This window comes from Homo sapiens, chromosome 2, assembly GCF_000001405.40.
Source record: "Homo sapiens chromosome 2, GRCh38.p14 Primary Assembly".
NCBI lineage: Eukaryota > Metazoa > Chordata > Mammalia > Primates > Hominidae > Homo > Homo sapiens.
In genome coordinates, this window is record NC_000002.12 from 216,002,283 (window position 1) to 216,023,545 (window position 21,263).

Genomic DNA, 21,263 nt, shown 5'->3' on the forward strand with positions numbered 1-21,263 from the left:
ATGTTTGTAAGTACTAACTTCTGCCTGGGGATATGGCTGCAAAGTGCTAGTCAGCATTGAAGCTATTTACCGAGAGTTCCTCAGGATTCCTCACTACTAACAAGGGCTGCATGTAAAAGACCTTGGAAGGCTCCACGAAATACAGTGCACACAGGCTGGCCTCTGACACCGGCAGTTCCAGTGACTTTACTGCTCTCCCCACAGGCCATGTGGCAGTGGCCACTAGCTTAAGACTGAAACTCTGAAAACAGCAAAGAAAGAAAATCTCCAGTCAACAGCAACCAACGGTCCAGAAAAACAGGCTGCCAGGTCCACACCCTTGACACTCACAGACTTTTGGTTTGATTTCCTGCTAGGAAGTCGCTGGCCTGCTACCCCCCTGGCTTCAAGACCTTTCCCTTCTTCCCTCTATTGAGACCTCCCTGGGATGGAGCAGGTGAACCTAAGATCTTCTCCCTCTCCATCCTCGCCTTGCTTCCCTCCCCATTCTCCTTCTTTGTCTTTCCTTCAGTCCCTCCTTTCTCCCTCTCCTCTTTTCTTTCTTTTTTCTTTCTTCCCCCTCTCTCTTCCTCCCCTTTCTTTGTTTTTCTCTCTCCCTGTCCTTCTCTTTCTGTCTCTCTTCTCTCTTTCTCTCCCTCTCCTCCTCTCTCCTTTTTCCTTCTCTCTCATTCTCTCTTTCCTTCTCTCTCTCTTTTCTCTCTTTCTGTCTCTCCTTCCTTTGTTCTTTCTGATACTGGTTTTCTCTTACCTAGTCGATCCAGTGTTTAAACATGTCTTATCCCCAAGTTTATTTCTTATGTTTTTAATTTATTTTTTATTTTTTGAAACAGAGTCTTGCTGTGTTGCCCAAGCTGGGGTGTCGGGGGGCGATTGTTCCATTAGTTCCAGCGCTTTCCTCAGCACTCGCCACCTACACTCATGACCTCCTTCAGCCCCAGAGATGTGACCTGCCTCAGTGTGAAGGAAGAAAAGCCCTGGGCACCCCTTTCCTGGCATCCCACTCTGATGTGCTCCTACCATTTGGGCTTTCTATTCTCACGCTGAGGCAGAGCCCCATATGATGCTGCTTCACACATCTGTGCCCTGCTTTCAAGGCTCGAAGACGGTCCTGACAGGCACCCTGTGAAGCCAGCACTGTTGTGTCATCCAGCTAAGGAAACACGAGGGCTCAGGAGGAAGACCCAGTCCTTGGTGTCTCCTCTGCTTTCATTCACACCTGGTCACTTCATCTAGTGCCATGCCTTTAAACATCATCTACATGAGGAAGATTCCCGAATCGGAATCCCCAGCTCAGTACTCTCTCCCAAATTTCAAATTTCCCATCTCCGCTGGGATGTCTCACAGACAACACAAGCTCAGTGTGGTCCCGACCAAGCACCTGATCTTCCCGCTAAACCCATCCACAGGCTCCCCACTCAGATGATGGCAACTCCATCCTTCCCATTGCTCAGGCCAAGACCCTTGACGGCATCCCCCACTCCCTCATCCCCTATATCTATCCATCAGAAAATCCTATTGGTCCACATTCAAAAAATATCCACCTCTACCACTACACCCTGAGCCAAGGCTTTTTATGTTTTGCATAAGAATTTCTACTGTTGTCTCTTTTACCCAGTTATTTCTTTCTATTCTTAACACAACAGCCAAAGTGATCCTTTTAATATGTAAATCAGATCATGTCATCCCTCAGCTCAAAACCTGCCAGTGGCTAACCCATTTGGCCTAGAGGATAAGCCAAAGTCCTGCAGTGGTCCCCAGGCCTGCAGTGACAGTCCACCACCCTGCCCTCTTCAGTTCCCTGAACCCATTAGTCAAGTCACACTTTGACCTCAGGGCCCTTGCACTGGCTGATCTCCATCTACCTAGAATGTTTTTCTCCTGACAGCCACGTCCTCACTCCTCCCTCTCCTTCAAGTCTTTGTTTAAACACCACCTCCTCAACAAGGCCTGCCCTGACCAACCTATTTAAAATTGCAAACATGCTCCCTCCCTTGCTCTACTTTTGTTTCCTACACACTTATTTATCTCCTAGTTTACTTATTATGTTTCCTGTTTATTGGGCTCCCCAACACTACCGCCACCACCACTAGAACAAAAGCCACGAGGACAGGGATCTGTATCTACTTTGCTCAGTGATGTATCTCAAGTACTTAAAACAGTGCCTAACAGGAGAATCACTTGAACCCGGGAGGCGGAGGTTGCAGTGAGCAGAGATAATGCCAATGCACTCCAGCCTAAACGACAGAGTTAGACTCTGCCTCAAAAAAAACAAAAAAACAAACAAAAAAAAAAAACCTGTGCCTGGCACATAGTAAATGCTCAATAAATATTTGCTGAACCAATGCACTCTTGTTTCCCAAGTTCACAGGGCTCTAAACTGTAGAGATGAGTATGACTCTGTGTCTTCAAGCTCACAGACAAGCTCCTAACATTTTTTTTAGCTGTTTAAATTTATGAAAATTGGCCTTACAGTCTTGTGGGAGGAAGCAGATGATAAGCACATATGTTTACGCCATGTGACATTCAGAACTGTAAAGAAATACATAGTGAGTAAGGGACACAGTGAAGGGTGGGGCACTGTTTTAAGAGAGTGGTCAGGGTAGAATGTTCTGATAAAATGACTTTGAGAAGAGATCTAAATAAAGTGAAGGAGTTATCCACACAGAAAACTAGAGAAAGAGTCTTCAAGGCAGGGCAGGCAGAAAGTGCAGAGGCGCTGAGGCAGGGGTGTGGGTGGTATATTTGAGGAACCAGGGGAAGCCAGTATGACTGAGAGATGAATAATTAATTTCACCTTATATGCTGACTTTAAACCATACTTAATAGCCCAAAACTGGAAACCACCCAAAAGTCCACCAAGAGTAGAATAGGGGAACAAAATGGAATACAGTCTAAAGCAATAAGGACCATGAACAAGGCTACATACAACAACACGGAGGAATCTCACAAAGCTCCACCAACAAAGTGAGTTCTATGAGAACACACAGTTTGATCCCATTTATGCAAAGTTTAAAGGCAGGCAAAACAAAAGTACATCTTTAAGGTGCACACATAGGTGGGAAAGCTAGAAGTCTAGACATGATCAAGGAGGAGATAAGGGGCTGGCAATAGCTATCTCTTGCCATGGAGGTGGTTACACGAGTATTCACTTTCTAGTTATTCTTTTTTTTTTTTTTTTTTTTTTTTTGAGACAGGTTCTAGCTCTGTCACCCAGGCTGGAGTGCAGTGGCACAGTCTTGGCTCACTGCAGCCTCTGCTTCCCAGCTTCAAGTGATTCTTCTTCCTCAGCCTCCAGAGTAGCTGGGATTATAAGTGCCGCCACCACACCAAGCTAATTTTTTTGTAGTTTGAGTAGACACAGGGTTTCACCATGTTGGCCAGGCTGGTCTCAAACCCCTGACCTCAAGTGATGCACCTGCCTCGGCCTCCCAAAGTGTTGGGATTACAGGTGTGAGCCAACCATGCCCAGCCTATAGTTATTCTTTATACTGAACATATTTGTGTATGTTTTTTGTCTGTAATATCACACATTGGAACACAAGTTTTTAAAAGATTTTTGTAAAAAAAAAAAAAAAAAAAGCTAAGTAAGAGCCAATTCAGGACAGTGTCAAACAGTTCAGGGGTTCTTTTGTTGCACACTATGTCACCAAAATTATTTCCTAAAAGGGCACAAAAGAATAGAGTGCATGGTATATAACTGTCACAAAACAAAGATTTATTAACCAGACTAAAATGACTTCAGGTGCTAACAGAATAAACTATTTTACCCAGCATTTAAGCAGAGTTTATACTTTTTAAACATAGGTGGTGTAGTGATAAAATCACTTCAAGAGTCTAGAGAATAAAAAGTTGCAAGAAACTCTCACATGATGTGTAGGAGAAAGAAATTTCATCTTCTCGGGAACTTCCAATGGCACTATGACTAATGCAAGTCACAAAAAGAGAAGAGGGACGCTGTGGCTTGCCGGGGAAGAAAACCTTTAAAAGTCATCCTTGTGAATTTTGGACAGCTGACTTCTTATAAAGAGCTTCCCTCCTACGCGTTGGGCCTAAAGCCCAGTCCCTGGGACAGCACTCATGCACCTCTGGCCCTCCCCTATCACTCCCCTGTCTTTCAAGAAGGCAAAAGCACCAGCCTTGCAATGGGAATCTTCCAGCCAGGGCACTTTCCTTCAGTAAAAACCCTTTGTGCCCCTGCAGGCACTTCCTGTGAATCATTGTCCGGCCCCGGAGCTACCGGCTTTGCAAACTGCAGGTTTCTGCAGGAAGCCACAGATGAGGTGTGCCAATCTGCCCAATCTGCTCAGAGACCTGGCTCCGGAAAACCCAATAGTATGTGCTGGGAAAAAAGTCAGGCCATCTGGGCCCCGGTCTGAGAAATCTCACTGACATAAACGTACTCGTCAACTTTCTAAAAGCCCTTCCAATGGGGAGAAGATGATTTGGTCAGCTCCAAGGTCATGTGAGTCCACACCGTAAAATGAAAAACCCTACAAATGTAAAAGATTATTATACTTCTAGAGTTGGTGGTGATTCCCTTTTACATGTTGTGAGCCCTCCCTTACCCCCACCCTTCTTTCCCACTGGCACCTGGTTTCCCTAGCTTCAATGCAGGAAAAGACCCAGTGTTTCTGGACCCTGGGCTATAACAATTCAGGGAAAGATTCAAACTCCAAACACAACTTCTAACACACACCACGTAAGCAGCTAGTTCCATACCTCTCTGCACACCAGAAGGGCTCTGCTCTTTCTATGGCATTGAAATCTACTAGCATATGAATCCCAGTTCGACCACGTGTGCCTCTAAGCAAGTTACTGAAGTTCTCTGTGTCTCAGTCTCCTCAATGGCCAACTGGGGATGGTGGACATAATTACAGCCAATCTTCATTATTTGGAGATTCTGCATTTGCAAATTCGCCCACTCGTCAAAATTTACCTGTAACCCCAAAATCAATACTAGTGATGTTTCCAAGGACATTCATGAACATGCCTAGAGTGACAAAAAATTTAGAGTTGCCTGAGACGCACAGCCCCAGCCGAGGTCAAAAGGCAACACTCAGGCTTCTTGGTTCAGCTCTCAGATTGGAAACAAGCGTCCTTTTTGTGATCACTTAGCAACATTTTATTTATTTATTTATTTATTTATTTATTTATTTATTTATTTTGAGATGGAGTCTCGCTCTGTCACCCAGGCTGGAGTGCAGTATCTCAATCTTGGCTCACTGCAACCTCCGCCTCCCAGATTCGAGTGATTCTCCTGTCTCAGCCTCCAGAGTAGCTGGGATTACAGGCATGTGCCACCACGCCCAGCTAATTTTTGTATTTTTAGTAGAGATGGGGTTTCACCACGTTGGCCAGGCTGGTCTCATACTGCTGACCTCAAGTGATCCACCTGTCTTGGTCTTCCGAAGTGCTGGGATTACAGGTGTGAGCCACTGCACCCAACCCCCACTTAGCGGCTTTTTTTTTGCATTTTTGTACTTTTAGCTGGCAATTTCACTGTTTAGAATATCTCCCAAAGTGTAGTGCTGAAGTGCTAACATACATGTTGGATAAGCTTCACTCCAACCTGAGATATAGGGTGTTGGCCATGAGTTCAATGTTGATAGAGCAACAATATATATTAAATAAGGTGTCTTTAGGCAGAAACACATAAAAAAAGTTATGCATTGATTGGTTGACAGGGATCTAATCCTGCCATCGGCTCACAGGAACCTAACTCTGTATTTCCCCTAGGAACAATGGTTCAGTATTCACTAATTCAGTGTTCAAGCGACTTTACAGAACCTAACTACCACAGACAACAAGAATCAGCTGTGCTTCATAGGGCTATGGTGGGGATTTCATTAACAGATATAGAAGAAATGGTTTAGTTTGAGTCACGCCGCTTGGGGCAGAGACTGAGTTGAAGAGGAAAGTGTCTCTGACAAGGAAGTTCATCTTCCCTGCCCTCATGCTCCTGATCCTGTACAGATTGGGCTTAGTGCTTGTGACAGACTAGGCACTGTTGTAAATGCTTTGTATCTGTGGGCCATTCAGGAAAATTCAATTTGTAACAATTGTTACTCTCTAATTTCTATTAGCTGTTAATAACTGATAATCAAACATCGTTACATCTGTCTGATTTTTCAACAGCAAAAGAAGAAATGGAAAGAATGAACAACAATAGCTATGATTTTATGTGTGGCTCTCTCTTAAGCCACCCAAGTGGACCATATAATGAGCTTCCAAATCTGTTTTGCTCCTTGTTCATCTGGATGCCCACCTGCAGCTTCCATTCATGATAACAAACTTGATGCCCTCTGCAGGCAATGAATGGACAGACGTCACTGTTTTATTTTTCTACAGTGCCTGAATTCCTGGGAGGGAAAGTAAAATAAAATCTCAGTTTGCTCTAGATGACTGTTTTGTGCCCACACAAAGGACCATTCTAAAAAGGAATTGATCAGGACCTTCGGGTGTGGGCCAAATTCAAAACAAATTGAATTTTCCTGAATGGCCCACAGATACAAAGCATTTACAACAGTGCCTAGTCTGTCACAAGCACTAAGCCCAATCTGTACAGGATCAGGAGCATGAGGGCAGGGAAGATGAACTTCCTTGTCAGAGACACTTTCCTCTTCAACTCAGTCTCTGCCCCAAGCGGCGTGACTCAAACTAAACCATTTCTGCTATATCTGTTAATGAAATCCCCACCATAGCCCTATGAAGCACAGCTGATTCTTGTTGTCTGTGGTAGTTAGGTTCTGTAAAGTCGCTTGAACACTGAATTAGTGAATACTGAACCATTGTTCCTAGGGGAAATACAGAGTTAGGTTCCTGTGAGCCGATGGCAGGATTAGATCCCTGTCAACCAATCAATACATAACTTTGTTTTATGTGTTTCTGCCTAAAGACACCTTATTTAATATATATTGTTGCTCTATCAACATTGAACTCATGGCCAACACCCTATATCTCAGGTTGGAGTGAAGCTTATCCAACATGTATGTTAGCACTTCAGCACTACACTTTGGGAGATATTCTAAACAGTGAAATTGCCAGCTAAAGTACAAAAATGCAAAAAAAAAAATGCTGCTAAGTGGGGGTTGGGTGCAGTGGCTCACACCTGTAATCCCAGCACTGAAAAAGTTCAAAGCAACCCTTGTGAAAGATCCTTCGGTGCATGACATTTACACCACAGCCAGCTTCTCTGTGTTCTGATTCAGCATCTCCCAGGCCTCTGATGTCTGTATTAGATCCTACATGGCAGTAGGCTCCATGGTGCCAAAAGACCTGAGCGTCTTTCTCCTTAAAGGTGACTGCAGCTGTGCCTCCAGGAACACAAACATGCTCAGGAGAATCACATGTTCAAGCGATTCTCCTGCCTCAGCCTCCCAAGTAGTTGGGATTACAGGTGCCCGCCACCACACCCGGCTAATTTTTTTTATTTTTAATAGAGACAGGGTTCACCATGTTGGCCAGCCTGGTCTCGAACTCCTGACCTCAGGTGATTCGCCTGCCTCGGCCTCCCAAAGTGCTGGGATTACAGGTGTGACCCACTGCACCTGGCCTCAGGTAGATTTTTATATGGCAAGAGCATGCTCTTATCACTGATGGAAGAAAGCCATGCTGCAAAAGTGAAATAATTACCAATGCTTTGGGCTCACACATCTTTCAAAAGTACTCTGTAATGGGCTGAATAGTTTCCCCCCAAAAGATATGTCCAAGTCCTAATCCCCAGTCACTATAATTATGACCTTATTTGAAAACAAGGTCTTTGCAGATGTAATTAAGTCAAGGATCTTGAGATGAAATCATCCTAGGTTTTAGGACAGACCCTAAATCCAATCACTGGTGTCCTCATAAGAGAAAAGAAAGGGAGATTTGAGACACAGAGGAGAGACACATCAAAGATGAAGGGAGGCAAAGACTGAAGCTGTGTGGCCACAAGTCAAGGAACATTGGGAGCAACCAGAAGCTGGAATCAGTGAAAAATGATTCTCCCCTACACCCTTTGGAAGGACTGTGGCCCTGCGGAAACCTTGATTTCAGACTTTTGGCTTCTAGAACTGTGAAAGAAAAGATTTCTCTTTTTTTTTTTTTTTTTTTTTGAGACGGAGTCTCGCTCTGTCGCCCAGGCTGGAGTGCAGTGGCGCGATCTCCATTCACTGCAAGCTCCGCCTCCCGGGTTCACGCCATTCTCCTGCCTCAACCTCCCGAGTAGCTGGGACTACAGGCGCCCGCCACTACACCCGGCTAATTTTTTGTATTTTTAGTAGAGACGGGGTTTCACCGTGTTAGCCAGGATGGTCTTGATCTCCTGACCTTGTGATCCGGCCGCCTCGGCCTCCCAAAGTGCTGGGATTACAGGCGTGAGCCACCGTGCCCGGCAGATTTCTCTTGTTTTAAAAGCCACTACGTTTATGGGAAGTGGTGGTGGCAACCACAGAAAACCAGTGATTACATACTCCAAGTATTTCTTTTAATTAATAAGATGAAATTTTGAACCAAAAGTCACTCACTATTTTACAGACAAATGATCAATGATCGGCCAGGCGCAGTGGCTCACGCCTGTAATCCCAGCACTTTGGGGAGACCGAGGCAGGCAGATCACGAGGTCAGGAGATAGAGACCATCCTGGATAACACGGTGAAACCCCGTCTCTACTAAAAATACAAAAAATTAGCCGGGCGCAGTGGCCGGCACCTGTAGTCCCAGCTACTCGGGAGGCTGAGGCAGGAGAATGGTGTCAGCCTGGGAGGCGGAGCTTGCAGTGAGCCGAGATCATGCCACTGCACTCCAGCCTGGGCAACAGAGCAAGACTCCGTCTCAAAAAAAAAAAAAAAAAATAGTGGTGATTGTTGCTTAACTTTGTGAATGTACTAAAAACTACTGAATTGCATACTTTAAAAAATTTTTAAATCAACTAAAAAAAAGTTTTCAGAACCAATCTTCAGATGCCTTGTATAGGAAAGAACCTGCAGGTACCCATATACACACACGCCACTGTTCCACGTATCCATTAATAAGCTGTTCTTCCCAAATATTGTTATATGGAAATGGTGCCAGAATGACACCAAACCACATGAGACCAGTCCACTCATACCCACATGCTCAGAATAACAATGATAATTAATAACTACAATTTATTGAGTGTTAACTATGTGTCACACTCTATACTAAGCACTTTATATGTATTATCTCCTTTCATCTCTCGTGGCAAACCTTTGAAGTATGTACTATTATCATCCCCATTTTACAGATGATGAAATTGAGGCACAAATAATTTTAATAACTTGTGCCAGGTTACCTAGTTGGGTGAGCAGACTCATTCCAGGCAACCTGATTCACAAGCCCTATGCTACTCCGCTCCAATTGACCCTGGGGCTTCTTAAAATCACATGCAAAATTCACTGACTTGTATTCACTGGATAGAAGCTAAGACAGGAGAGCATCTAAGATTTTAAAACAACCAGAACTATTAACTGAAACAGCAATCCTGGACAGAAAACTGGAAATACTCAAGCCTCTGAGGTTGAAACTAAGCTCAAGTCTGTATTTCATGTTACTAAGAGCCCTGACAAGTTCAGTGTATAACCTAAGCATAAAATTCTAGATTGCAGTTACCCACTACCTATTAGATTAGAGATAGATTATTCCATTTCTCCCTACACACAATAATCTAAAAATCTAAGTGGGAGTGTCATTGACAAGAGCAATCAAAATCACTGTATATTGTGTGTATGACTTTATATATATAATATACATGAGTTACATGTTTATATACATGTGTGCTTACCAAACAGCGAGGAGTAGATGGTAATTTCTAAGTACTACATCCTAGAAGAGGAAGATGGATAAGGGCAAAGTAATCAAAGAAGATTGCTTGAGAAGGCCTTGAAAATAGCTTTTGGGAAGGAGGAGCAAGGATAAAGGTCACCACTTGAGGGAGGGTTGGAGCCAATGAGTGGATTATTCCCACGGCCGCAAGGAGTGTACACTGTTTAATGTACTGGAAAATCAGAGTGGACAGGCAGGAAGGGGTTATGTAAGATCTCCAAAGTCAAGGGGGTGTTTGGACTTGATAGAGTAAGAAAAGGTAAATCATTCCTTAGAAAAAGTTGTGCAAGCTGTATTACGTGAGTTTCATACTTCAAAAGAAAGAAACCCTGGCTTTAGTATTTGCTTACTCAACCCTGGAATTCCACCTGAAATACTGTTTCCTAATTCCATTTTAAATATTCTGTTTCTGTCATGTCTACCCCTGAGGCATGACCTAGTCCAGCCTCGATTTCAGCAAACTCAAGATAGAAAATGATTGCTTAAAATCACAGCCCTGAACAAAACTGGGCTGGTATGGTCTCTTCACAAAGCCTCTTAGCTTATTGCTAATGAGCATTACATTTCCTCACACTTCATAGCTTAACCTGTAATGAATCAACATCCTAGTGAATAGGCTGCCCCTTGATGAAACATGCATTTTTTTCATGTGAAAAATATTTCCTTATACTCAGTCACTGGAATCGTCTTCGTTGGGTAATAAAATTGAATGAGAAATAGACAACTTTTTTGCTGAGTGGCACAGAAATCCACAGTCGCCCGTTTCACTGTAATATACCGATCAAATACCCAGTCACAGTTGTATTTTATCAGACCCCTATGGAAACTTCTGATCAACTTCTCTCCCTTACTTCCCTGCCCAGGTAGGACACCCGAATTCTTGGCACTTTGCACAGACATCCAGCTGGGTCTCAGGTGTCTCCGAAGATTTGTGCTTTTCGGCAAAAATCTTACTCAAGGAACAAACCCAAAACATCCCATAAGGAACCAAGGGGCTGAGATGGCGCCTCCGCGTGCCCTTCCAGCAAGCCCACCTCCCCAACTCACACAAGCACACAGGTGTCCACACTCTCGGCGCCCGGCTACGGCCCAGGTAAGCCCAGATCCCGGCCCGGGCGGCGCACCCACCTGACGAGGGGCTCCTTCTCAGGCAGGGCGCGCTCCTCCAAGCACTCGCACCCGCAGCAGCAGCACACGGTTCTCAGCCAGTCCCTCAGCCCCATGGAGAGCGAGGGCCCCCACCGGCGCCGGAAGCCTGGGGCCGAGTCGCCGCGGCGAGCGATCGAGGCTGGGGCGCGGCCACCGCGCCAGCGTCCAGGTGCGGGGACAGCGGCAGCCCGGGCGTCGCGGGCTGGTCCGCGCGCATCACGCCGCGGCCGGGGACGCGGGCGAGGGCTGCAGGCCGCGCGCCCTCCTCTCCTTGCGTTTTGTTTGGGGCGTGAGTTTTCTTCGGGCTTTTTTTCCCCTCTTTTAATTCCCCGAGCGCAATTTGGGGCGCATGCGTCCACGAGACGCCCCGCTACCGCCCTCTAAGGGTGAAGCAGGGACTCCAGCCAGTCCTCAAAATCCCAGGGCACCGGAGGCTGGCAGCCGGGCTGGGGGAGGGCGGGGAGGGGAAAGCCCTGGAGCCACAGAGCACGAGGTTGGGCTGAATCTATTCGTACCTTTTATTGGCTTCACTGCGCGAGGAAATTAAAGATCCTCCCCCACCCCTACAGGCCTTCAAAGCAGAGTTTTGGGCATGTTTTTGATGTCAGCTCCACACAGAGTAAAAGTTACCAAAAGAGCATGGATTGATGCATATCGGCGTAGGGTTTTTTTTTAAATAATATATTTACAATGATTTGAAAAATTGTTTTCAAACCTCCTAGTCCTTAAATAGCCCCTATTTGTGAGGCAACCACTTGTGAGTTTCCAGAGCTATTTATATATAGTTGTATTTATTTGTGCTTGTACAAACTTGTTAATATATGTGCCTGTCCTCATCCCTTTGACCCAAACAGCGGCATACTCCACACATTTCTGCACCTGGCTTTTTTGACTCAGTGTATCATGGAGGCTGTCCCTTGTCAGCGCGTGGATATCCTCCTCTCATTTTAACAGTTGCATGCTAAGCAGTTTTAAGGATGCCCACATGTTACTTACTCAGACCCCTATTGATGGACATATGGGTGGATTCCGGCCTTTCATTATTAAGATAATGCTGCAGTGAACATTCTTGAACCAAAGTATTTGAACACGTCTGCAAGAATGTCTATTGGATAGGCCGGGCGCGGTAGCTCAAGCCTGTAATCCCAGCAAGTTGGGAGGCCGACGCGGGCGGATCATGAGGTCAAGAGATTGAGACCATCCTGGCCAACATGGTGAAGCCCCGTCTCTACTAAAAATACAAAAATTAGCCGGGCATGGTGGCGGGCGCCTGTAGTCCCATCTACTCAAGAGGCTGAGGCAGGAGAATTGCTCGAACCCGAGAGGCGGAGGTTGCAGTGAGCCGAGATCACGCCACTGCACTCCAGCCTGGGTGACAGAGCAAGACTCCGTCTCAAAAAAAAAAAAATAAAATTAAAGATATATATATCTATTGGATAAATGTTTGGCAGTTGAATTGCTGGGTCATTGGTCAGGTGCCTTTTTAATTTTGATGGATCTTGCCAAATTGCTCCCCAAAGAAATAATCCGAATTTACTCTCTGACCAGCAACATATGAAAGTATCTACTTCCCTATACCCTCGCCAAATGCAAGGTTCAATCTAAAGTTTTGTCTTTTCCAGTCTGATTTATTCAACAAATATTTATGGAGCATCTCATCTGTTATGTGCTGGGTATTTTCTAAGAGCCGGGAATAAAGCAGTGAATGAAACAAATACAAATCTTTACTCTAATGGAGCAAACGTTCTAGTGGGAAGTCAGACAAAGTATTATTCAATATGTTAGGAGTCCATATGTACTATGGAGAAAAATAAGGCAGGGAAGGGAATAAGAAGTGCCAGGGAGAGCGGGGTGTGTGTGTGCACGCGTGTGTGTGCGCGCGTGCGTCTGTGCGTGCGTACGTGTGCGCGCGCGCGTGCGTGTGTGTTCGTGTATGTGTGCGTGTGCGTGTGTGTGTTGGGTGGAGGGGAGTGATGCCTGCACTTTTAAATGAGGTGGTCAGGGAAGGCCTCGCTGAGACTGTGACATGTAAGAAAAACTTGAAGGAGGTGAGCAAGCTAGCCATGATATCGCCAGGAAGAGTATTTCAGGCGGAGTGAATATGGGCAAAACCCCAGAGGAGGGAGAATGAACTATAGGGTACCTGTGGGAGAATATGGACTCTAGGGGCCCTAGAGAGAAGGGGGCCATGGAAAGGGAAGAGTTATAGGAGATAGCGGAACACGGGACGTTGCAGGACATTGATTGCAAGGACTCTGGATTTTGCTCCACATGAGCTGAGAAAATCTTCAGAGGTTTTTGAGTAGAGGGAACGATATGGTCTAACTGAGATGGTAATAGGATCCAATGGCTGCTGTCTTGAGAAAAACCTAAGTGTCAAGGGAGATGTATATGGAGGCCATCCTAAAGGTCCAGGTGACAGATGACAGTGGTTTACACCAGGGTGGTGGGTGGTAGCAGTCGAGGTGGTAAGGAACGGCTGGACTCTAGCTGGAATTTGAAGGTAGAGCCAACAGGATATGCTGAAGGATTGTAAATAGGGTGTGAAAAGAAAAGAAAAAAGTGAGTCCCAAGTTTTGGATTTATAAACTTGGAGGCTGAATCTCCACTGGCTGAGATAGAGGAGTGTGGGAGGAGCCGGTTTGGAGGGTGAGGAGGAGGAGCAAGAGCTTATGAAAGTGTCAATCCTCATGGGCGGTGTATTATTTTTAAAAGTGTCTTACTACACATAGGTTTGTCCTGTTCCAGCTACAGTGTGAGGCTGAAGGGACTTATCAAGTACATAATTCATTGAAAGGCTACGAAGGGATAAAGAAAAATAACAGAAGGTCCCTGCAGCCTCTGGCTTAGCTGGGGAGACAGGATATGGACCCATCATGAAACATTAACAGGATGTGACAGAGAACCAGCTGTCACCAGACAGCACAGGACTGTGTTGTCATGCCCACACCATGTCGCTTACCACTTGCACCTGGTGCCAAGATGGAGGCTGAGTGTGGTTTTACAAAGCACACTTCCTACTGGCTGGAAAATCCCCTGGTAAAAATGACTGTATTCTGAAATTGGATTTTGGATTTTGAGATAATCCACCTAGGTTCAAATAGAAAGTGGGTAAAGGAGGGTCCCAAAATGTGAACTCAGCTAGCAAGAAAATGAAAACTAGGGACTGACAGCTACTAGTAACTATTTGAGTTGGATTTGCTGAGAATGGAGAAATTGGAGCATTCAGCTCCTGGAAAATATAAGTGCTGTGCCCCATTACTAACTTTGATTTTTAAACATGTCACTTAATTTTTCTGAACCTCAGTTTTCTAATCTATGAAATAGAGGTGACAAGTCTTACCCTATTTAACACAGTTGTGAGACTCAAATGAGACAGTCTTAAAACCTTTATAAAGCCCTGAAGAAATATCAGAATTCAATATTATTAAACAAATTCAAATAATATAGGCCCGTTTGGGGAAATGTCAGCTCCAGCACTACTTGGCTTGCATATGACATTTGTACCTCTGCAATATACAGGCATCTTTTATGTGGTTTGTTTCAGACAGGATATTTATAGAAAGCCACAGAACTACATCTATTTAACAAACTTGATCAAGAGGTTAATGTCCTGCCTTGCTAAGGATCACATCAAATGTTTGCCAACTGTAACAGTTACTAACATTTTTAAAATTAATTTTAAGTTCTAAAACTTCTAAATGAAATAGTCTTCTAAAAAATTGGAATATTACAGCTCAGATTCCCTCTGTTGACTATCCACAACCTAATCCCCTTTCTACCTCCACCCTCCACATCCCCCCGGGTAACCATTATTATCAATATGGTACAAACCTTTTTCTGGACACATAAACACATATGTGTACTTGTGATGTAGCATCATTGTGTGTGCTGTTATTGTTAGTGAGTTTTGTTTTGTTTTGTTTATCTAAAAGGCGTGCAGCATCTATTTGCAAGCTTTTTCTATTTAATAATATGTCTTGGAGAGCAATCCTTGTTAGTATACTAATACTACCTCATTCTTATTAACTGATGTGAGTCTTCTGTTTACTAGGTTTTTAGGGATTTTTAGATCAGTTTTTCTTAGCATTCCTCTTCCCGGAATTTTAATGCCTTCACTATTTCCTTGATAAATTACAACTTTGATGGGAATAAAAACGTGACCAAACTCTCCAGTTTCACATTCAAATATGGTAGCTGAGATCACATTTTGACAATCCTATTTCAGATATCATTCACAGGGCAGCAGCAAGTTTCCCCTTTTTTAGAGTGGCGCTAGATGGTTCCTACTGCCTGAGTTGAAGCCAACACCGCCAACCACATGCAGCAGCATCTGACTTTTACCAAGAGCCCTCTGGGCACCTGATGTCCGGGAAGTAGGCAGTCCCCTGCCATCAGTGACTCACAGACCCATCAGCTGCTTGTTTCCAAGGCAGACCTGCTGGCTCCTATTTTCAGATTTCCCCATAGCAGGGGAAACTCTACAGTCTGGTTTGAAAACAACTAGTAGAATTTGGAGGCCCCTCTCTTTAAGAATTTTTTTACGACTTCTGGGAGTTAGAGGAAAAAGCACAGGCAGGGAGGAAAAATTAGAAATTCAAAACACTGAAGCTCCGCCCAGGCACGGTGGCTCATGCCTGTAATCCTAGCACTTTGAGAGGCCAAGGTGGGCGAATAACCTGAGGTCAGGAGTTTGAGACCAGCCTGGCCAACATGGTGAAACCCCATCTCTACTAAAAATACAAAAAAAAAAAAAAAAATTAGCCATGAGTGGTGGTGCATGCCTGTAATCCCAGCTACTCGGGAGGCTGAGGCAGGAGAATCACTTGAACCCAGGAGGCAGAGGTTGCAGTGAGCTGAGATCGCACCACTGCACTCCAGTCTGGGCGACAGAACGAGACTCCACCTCAAAAAAAAAATTAAGCTCCAATGCCACATCATGAACACATTCCACCAAAAAGTTGTGCTTAGACAACATAGCATGAGCTGGTATCATTCAGTTATTTGTTCTACAAAAATTTATTAAGTCAGGAACTGGGAATACAATGGTGAACTAGAATGTAGGGTCCATTCATGGAGGCAGGGATTTTGTTTTGTTCTTTGCAATATCCCCAACGCCTAGAACAGTGCAGACCTTGCCATACGACAACATCTAGAACAATGCACGCACATAGTGGGCACTTAACAAATGTGCTGAATAAACACAAGAAAACAGAAAAAGAGCTATTTAGTGTTGGCATGGAAGGTTATGTTTAATTCTGAGGAGTCTATTTATGAGCTGCCCACATCCAGCAGAGAAAAACGAACAAGTAGCGTCTTCCTTAAAGAAAAAATAGGGTTTCTGAAACAAACCAGTACTCTGAGCCAAGCATCATCACTCACCCCAAGTGATCCAAGATAGAGAAGCAACATGCCTCACCTCTCCAGAGAAGTCACATTAGGGAGTGGCATGACTAATGTTACCAAAGTAAAATCCGCCAAGGGTCCTTATAGAGTCTGTTGTTTCTACCTGTGTAGTATCCCTCACTCTGCCTTTTGGTAACAGTGTTTTGTTTTCCTTTGAAGAACATGCCCCCAATTCAATAGGCTGGCTATAACAATGAAGGTACCTTCCATCCCTCACCCCTAACCCTCAACAGGAAATGGACATGTGACCAAGAAATTGACATGTGACCAAGATGAGCCAATCAAACACTCTTTCTATAATTTGCTTCTTAACGGCAAAGACTCAAAGTTGGAAAACAGCTGGAGTTGAGGCATGAATTATTTTAAGGGTAGCATCTTGAAGAGCAGACCCAACCACAATTGCTCTAGGCTTTAGATGCTTAGAGCTTTCCTGCTCTTGCATTTCCGAAACAAGATCTATTATTCTAGCTCTTTAGTACTCCCATCATTCTATGGGTTACTCCATAACTTGTCAATCAATACTAATTTTTTTTTCTTTTTTGGCTTAAGTTAACCAGTGTTAGAGTCTGTTGCTTTCAGAACTAACCCCATATAGTCCCCTGAACTGGGTTAAGAGGCAGGAAAAGGGTAATTGTGATGAGAGAGCGAGCTAATCCTGAAAAAACACAACTCTCTTTTAGGCAGGGTACAACACACCAAAGTTTGATTTAGTCAGGTGAGATTTTTATTTCTGTTTCTCTGCTTGGCTTTGCCTCCCTGAAGAGAAACAGACACTATCTATCTGTTTCTGTCTGTCCTATCACTCTGTCGTTTCCCATAATGCAAAGGACTTTCTAAATTTTCAAACCTTTTTTTTTTTTTTTGAGACAGAGTCTTGCTCTGTCGCCCAGGCTGGAGTGCAGTGACGCAATCTCGGCTCACTGCAAGCTCCACCTCCAGGGTTCACACCATTATCCTGCCTCAGCCTCCCGAGTAGCTGGGACTATAGGCGCCCGCCACCATGCCCGGCTAATTGTTTTTGTATTTTTAGTAGAGACAGGGTTTCACCATGTTACCAGGATGGTCTCAATCTCCTGACCACGTGATCAGCCCGCCTAGGCCTCCCAAAGTGCTGGGATTACAGGCTTGAGTCACCGCTTCCAGCCTCAAACTATTTTTATTGGGTGCAGTTTGTTGGTTCCCTCCCTTCCCCAAAATATATACTCTAGAAAACCTTAATAGTCATAGTCTTTGCTTATTCTTCAGTTCCAAGCAACAAACATATTATAACTTCTCCTCAAAATTCAGTAGAGATTACTCTCTAGGCAACTTCATACTCGGGAATAATTCTGCCCTTTTAAAAAGAGAATAATTTTTCCCAGGGAGGAAAAAAAAACACATACGCTGGGCTGGAAGAGGAGTAGAGCACGGTAAGATGTTTTTCTTCAAGAAAGTTTGGCTCTTTCAGCCCTTCCATGAAGGGATTCTAACCCTGTTGCGTGTCCAACACCTTTTTGTATAGCTATTATGACCTTTATCTGCTGGATATTAATCATCTTCTAATTATTAAGGACAAAAAACATCACTCAAACTAGTTTAAGAAGAAATGTACTGCCTCAAGTAACTGGAAACTTCAGACATTATGCTAGCTTTAGACATAACTGGATCCAGGCCCTCCAAAGATAAAATAAAGATTGGTCTCTTTTCATCTCTGAGCTCTGAGTTATGGCATTCTCAGGTCCCCACTAGGCCTGAATTGCACCGTCTTTCCTGTTAGTGATCTTAGCAGAAAGAGGATAGCTCCTTCCCAGACAGTTGATCAACAGGCCCAGGCTTGACTCTCCTTGACCCAAATGGAACCAATTGCTGTGCTCGGAGGGAGAAAATACATCTACCTAGCAGGTTCTAGTCTCATGCACACCCTTGCAGAGCTCAAGTGAAGAGGAGCTGAGGAGACAGGAAAGGGCTAAGAGTGGGAAAGTTGTCATTTCCAAAGGAAAATCAACTGGAAACACAAAAAGGGGAATGGATACTGGCAGGGCCAGAGAAAACATCCATTGCACTTGGTAATAACAGCTAGCGATGCACTGTTTCAAGCATGGTGTGTGTATCCAAGGAGGACCGCCATCTAGAATGGACAGAAAGGACCCCACAAGGAATAGTCCTGTTGGGCCAAAGCCCCGCAAAACACACTACAGGAGCTCTCTGCAAGAGGAACGTCAGACTCCCACTGCGTCCCTTAAAAATTCAGATAGAAAACTGGTGACCTCACCAACATCTACCCCCAAACCAAACAGACAGAGAGAAATTATTTCACTGAATGTAAAGGGACTCTCATCTGAGACCGTCGGCAGAAGCAGAGTTTCTCACAGAGCGATGATCCTAAACACCTGCACTAGAATCCCTAGGGATGCTTACGGAAACTCCAGATTCTTGGACCCTATTTGACATCATCTGAATTGATGTTCTTCAGTAGGGGCCCAAGAATCCATGTTTTTAGTATTTGTCGGGCTTTTTAGGCTTTTCTGAGATGTGGTCTCACTCTGTCACCCAGGTTGGAGTGCAGTGATGCAATCTCGGCTCATTGCAACCTCCACCTCCTGGGCTCAAGCAATTCTCCAATCTCAGCCTCCCGAGTAGCTGGGACCACAGGCATGCACAACCACACCCAGCTAATATTTTGGGGTTATCCACCCGCCTCGGCCTCCCAAAGTGCTGGGATTACAGGCGTGAGCCACTGTACCCGGCTAAATCTGCATTTTTAAAAGGCTCCCAAGCCTTTTATAGGGACTAGGATGAGAAGGGAAGGGACTAAAATGAGACAAATGAGGAGCTTAGAGTGCAACATATAAAGAGACACTCGCTTTTGGGGCCCACCCTGCAACTGTACAACCCCAAATGTGAGTGCCTCCTTTAATGTTGTTCCATAGGCCCCTCACTCCCCTCTCACCCTAGTCACCCCTTTTCCAGAGGCTTGGGAATTCTGAGGCACGTCAAATTTATGAACCACTGGCAGGGTTGTTTAGAGTATGGTCTTTGGCATAACAGTGCTTCCCTGTGGCTGCTGTCAGGATTGGGTGAAATAACACAGAAAGCCCTTAGTACAATTTCATGGGAAATGGGAAGCACTGCGTAAACGTTAGCTGCAATTATTGTTAAGTATTCATACTTTAGTCAGATCCGACCCCATCACCTTCCATTGCCAACTGTGACCATCTGAAAGGATTCAACTCAACAAGTATTTATTATCAACTGTGTAAGCATGGCACTGAGCTCAACCTCTTGTGGAATGCAAAGATGAAAAACAAACAGTACTTGGCCGGCTGTGGTGCCTCAGGCCTATACTCCCAACACATTGGGAGGCTGAGGCAGGTGGATCACCTGAGGTCAGGAGTTCAAGGCCAGCCTGGCCAACATGGTGAAACTCCGTCTCTGCTAAAAAGACAAAAATTAGAAAAATTAGCTGGGTGTGGTGGCTGGCTGGCACCTGTAATCCCAACTACTTGGGAGGCTGAGACAGGAGAATCACTTGAACTTGGGAGGTGGAGGTTGCAGTGAGCTGAGATAGTGCCACTGTGTTCCAGCCTGGGTGACAAGAGCAAAACTCTGTCTCAAAAAATAATAATAATAACAGTACTCATCCTCAGAGTACTATCCAGAGCCAAAAATAGAAAATTATGGAACTCAAATGTTCTGTATTCATCTATGCCTCGAGTCACCCATCCTTCAGTTCCTACCATGTGCTCTTCCCTACCTCACCCCCATATTTCCCATGATTAACTATGCTGCAATCTCTAAGTAGATTCTTATAGCTAACTATGTTGTCATCTCTAGTCTCCCATAGTTAATTATACTGCTACGTCTAACAATATTCCCACTTTAATTATATCTCCATCTCTAACTATACTCCTATATTGAACTCTGTTGTCACAGCTAATTCTCCTGCCATAACAAACACTTTCCAGATGCCCAGAACAGTCTCAATTCTCAGCCCCAGAGATGAGATTTGGAATTCAACCTCTTCCTACCTCCGGAAGACAAGCCCCCTACTATTCCAAGTTTTCTGTGTTCTCCAAAGTCTCTCCATATTATACCTAACCAAAATTAAACATAAGCCTAGACCCAGCTATCATCGGTGTGCTTCCTAATTCAATTAAACTCTAAGAAGCAGAAGCAGAGTTTCTAAGAAGCATTTATTAAGCACTTGCTATATGCAAGGTGACTCGAAGTTGCAAAATAGGAGAAAATATGCATCAAAAACTGTAGTAGGAGAAAACCTGAGCATCATTCACATTTGCTATGAAAGGCGACCGGAGGCTTGCCTCAACTTTAAGCCCAGATCCTACCCATCTGAGTGTTAAAGATAACCGAATTTATGCCTTTAAATTCGTGTTTTTAGTTCACCATTCCTTTATATGGTTTCTTTCTCCACAACACTCAAGAGATACATCGACAGGCCAGAACCCTGCAACTCTCCCGGACAAGTTCTACCAAAGTAAAGACAGCAGGTGGACCTCCCCGACAAAGGTTATATACAAACCTTAGACTTCCCCACAAAGGTTATATACAAACCTTCCTATAATCCTCTGTGCTGCCACCTCCTGGCATCCAATTGTAAATTCACTGCAGTCTCTTTGGAGATGGGGCTAAGGATCTCAAATAGGTTCTAAAGCTTTCTTTTACTCAACAGATGGAAAGCTGCTGTAGCCACAATGCCTGTATGAACCTAGAGCTTAAAGGGACATAGTAATATTTAAGTGGGAGATTTAAACTAGCTGTAAACTAAACTCTAAACCTGTTAGGGCACTGCTAAATTGAGCAATAAGTAAATCCTCTCTTTTCTTGGCTACCATGTGCCAAATAGCTTTGATTATTGTATTACTATTTCATTTCATCTTATTAAGCAT

At 44.4% G+C, this 21,263-nt stretch overlaps 1 protein-coding gene across 9 annotated transcripts in view, besides 7 other annotated features; it reads right to left on the reverse strand.

The window, feature by feature from the left end:
- MREG (melanoregulin) overlaps window positions 1-21,263 on the reverse strand; it is a 94,789-nt gene that overhangs the window by 62,975 nt on the left and 10,551 nt on the right. For 7 of the 9 annotated variants that reach the window (XR_001738843.2, XR_007078319.1, XR_001738842.2 and 4 more), the window contains exon 1: window positions 10,951-11,269. The exons of the other annotated variants lie outside the window; for them this stretch is intronic. Coding sequence is in view for 2 of the 7 variants with exons in the window: in NM_018000.3 (NP_060470.2) it covers window positions 10,951-11,045 (95 nt within the window). In the remaining 5 variants the exon portion in view is untranslated. Of the gene's footprint in view, window positions 1-10,950; window positions 11,270-21,263 lie in introns of those variants that run through there. 9 annotated transcript variants of the gene reach the window in all.
- Window positions 2,634-2,753: an enhancer, noted in NCBI's record as "active region_17078". NCBI's record gives its function as "activates an Ori minimal core promoter by ATAC-STARR-seq in GM12878 lymphoblastoid cells {active_cell/tissue: GM12878}" and the evidence as "EXISTENCE:reporter gene assay evidence [ECO:0000049][PMID:35858748]".
- Window positions 2,764-2,913: an enhancer, noted in NCBI's record as "active region_17079". NCBI's record gives its function as "activates an Ori minimal core promoter by ATAC-STARR-seq in GM12878 lymphoblastoid cells {active_cell/tissue: GM12878}" and the evidence as "EXISTENCE:reporter gene assay evidence [ECO:0000049][PMID:35858748]".
- Window positions 3,830-3,879: an enhancer, noted in NCBI's record as "active region_17080". NCBI's record gives its function as "activates an Ori minimal core promoter by ATAC-STARR-seq in GM12878 lymphoblastoid cells {active_cell/tissue: GM12878}" and the evidence as "EXISTENCE:reporter gene assay evidence [ECO:0000049][PMID:35858748]".
- Window positions 4,470-4,519: an enhancer, noted in NCBI's record as "active region_17081". NCBI's record gives its function as "activates an Ori minimal core promoter by ATAC-STARR-seq in GM12878 lymphoblastoid cells {active_cell/tissue: GM12878}" and the evidence as "EXISTENCE:reporter gene assay evidence [ECO:0000049][PMID:35858748]".
- Window positions 10,324-11,091: an enhancer, noted in NCBI's record as "H3K27ac hESC enhancer chr2:216877329-216878096 (GRCh37/hg19 assembly coordinates)". NCBI's record gives its function as "activates a minimal SCP1, AML or CMV promoter by ChIP-STARR-seq in primed H9 embryonic stem cells {active_cell/tissue: H9 hESC(primed)}" and the evidence as "EXISTENCE:reporter gene assay evidence [ECO:0000049][PMID:30033119]".
- Window positions 11,064-11,473: a silencer, noted in NCBI's record as "silent region_12302". NCBI's record gives its function as "represses an Ori minimal core promoter by ATAC-STARR-seq in GM12878 lymphoblastoid cells {active_cell/tissue: GM12878}" and the evidence as "EXISTENCE:reporter gene assay evidence [ECO:0000049][PMID:35858748]".
- Window positions 13,716-13,795: an enhancer, noted in NCBI's record as "active region_17082". NCBI's record gives its function as "activates an Ori minimal core promoter by ATAC-STARR-seq in GM12878 lymphoblastoid cells {active_cell/tissue: GM12878}" and the evidence as "EXISTENCE:reporter gene assay evidence [ECO:0000049][PMID:35858748]".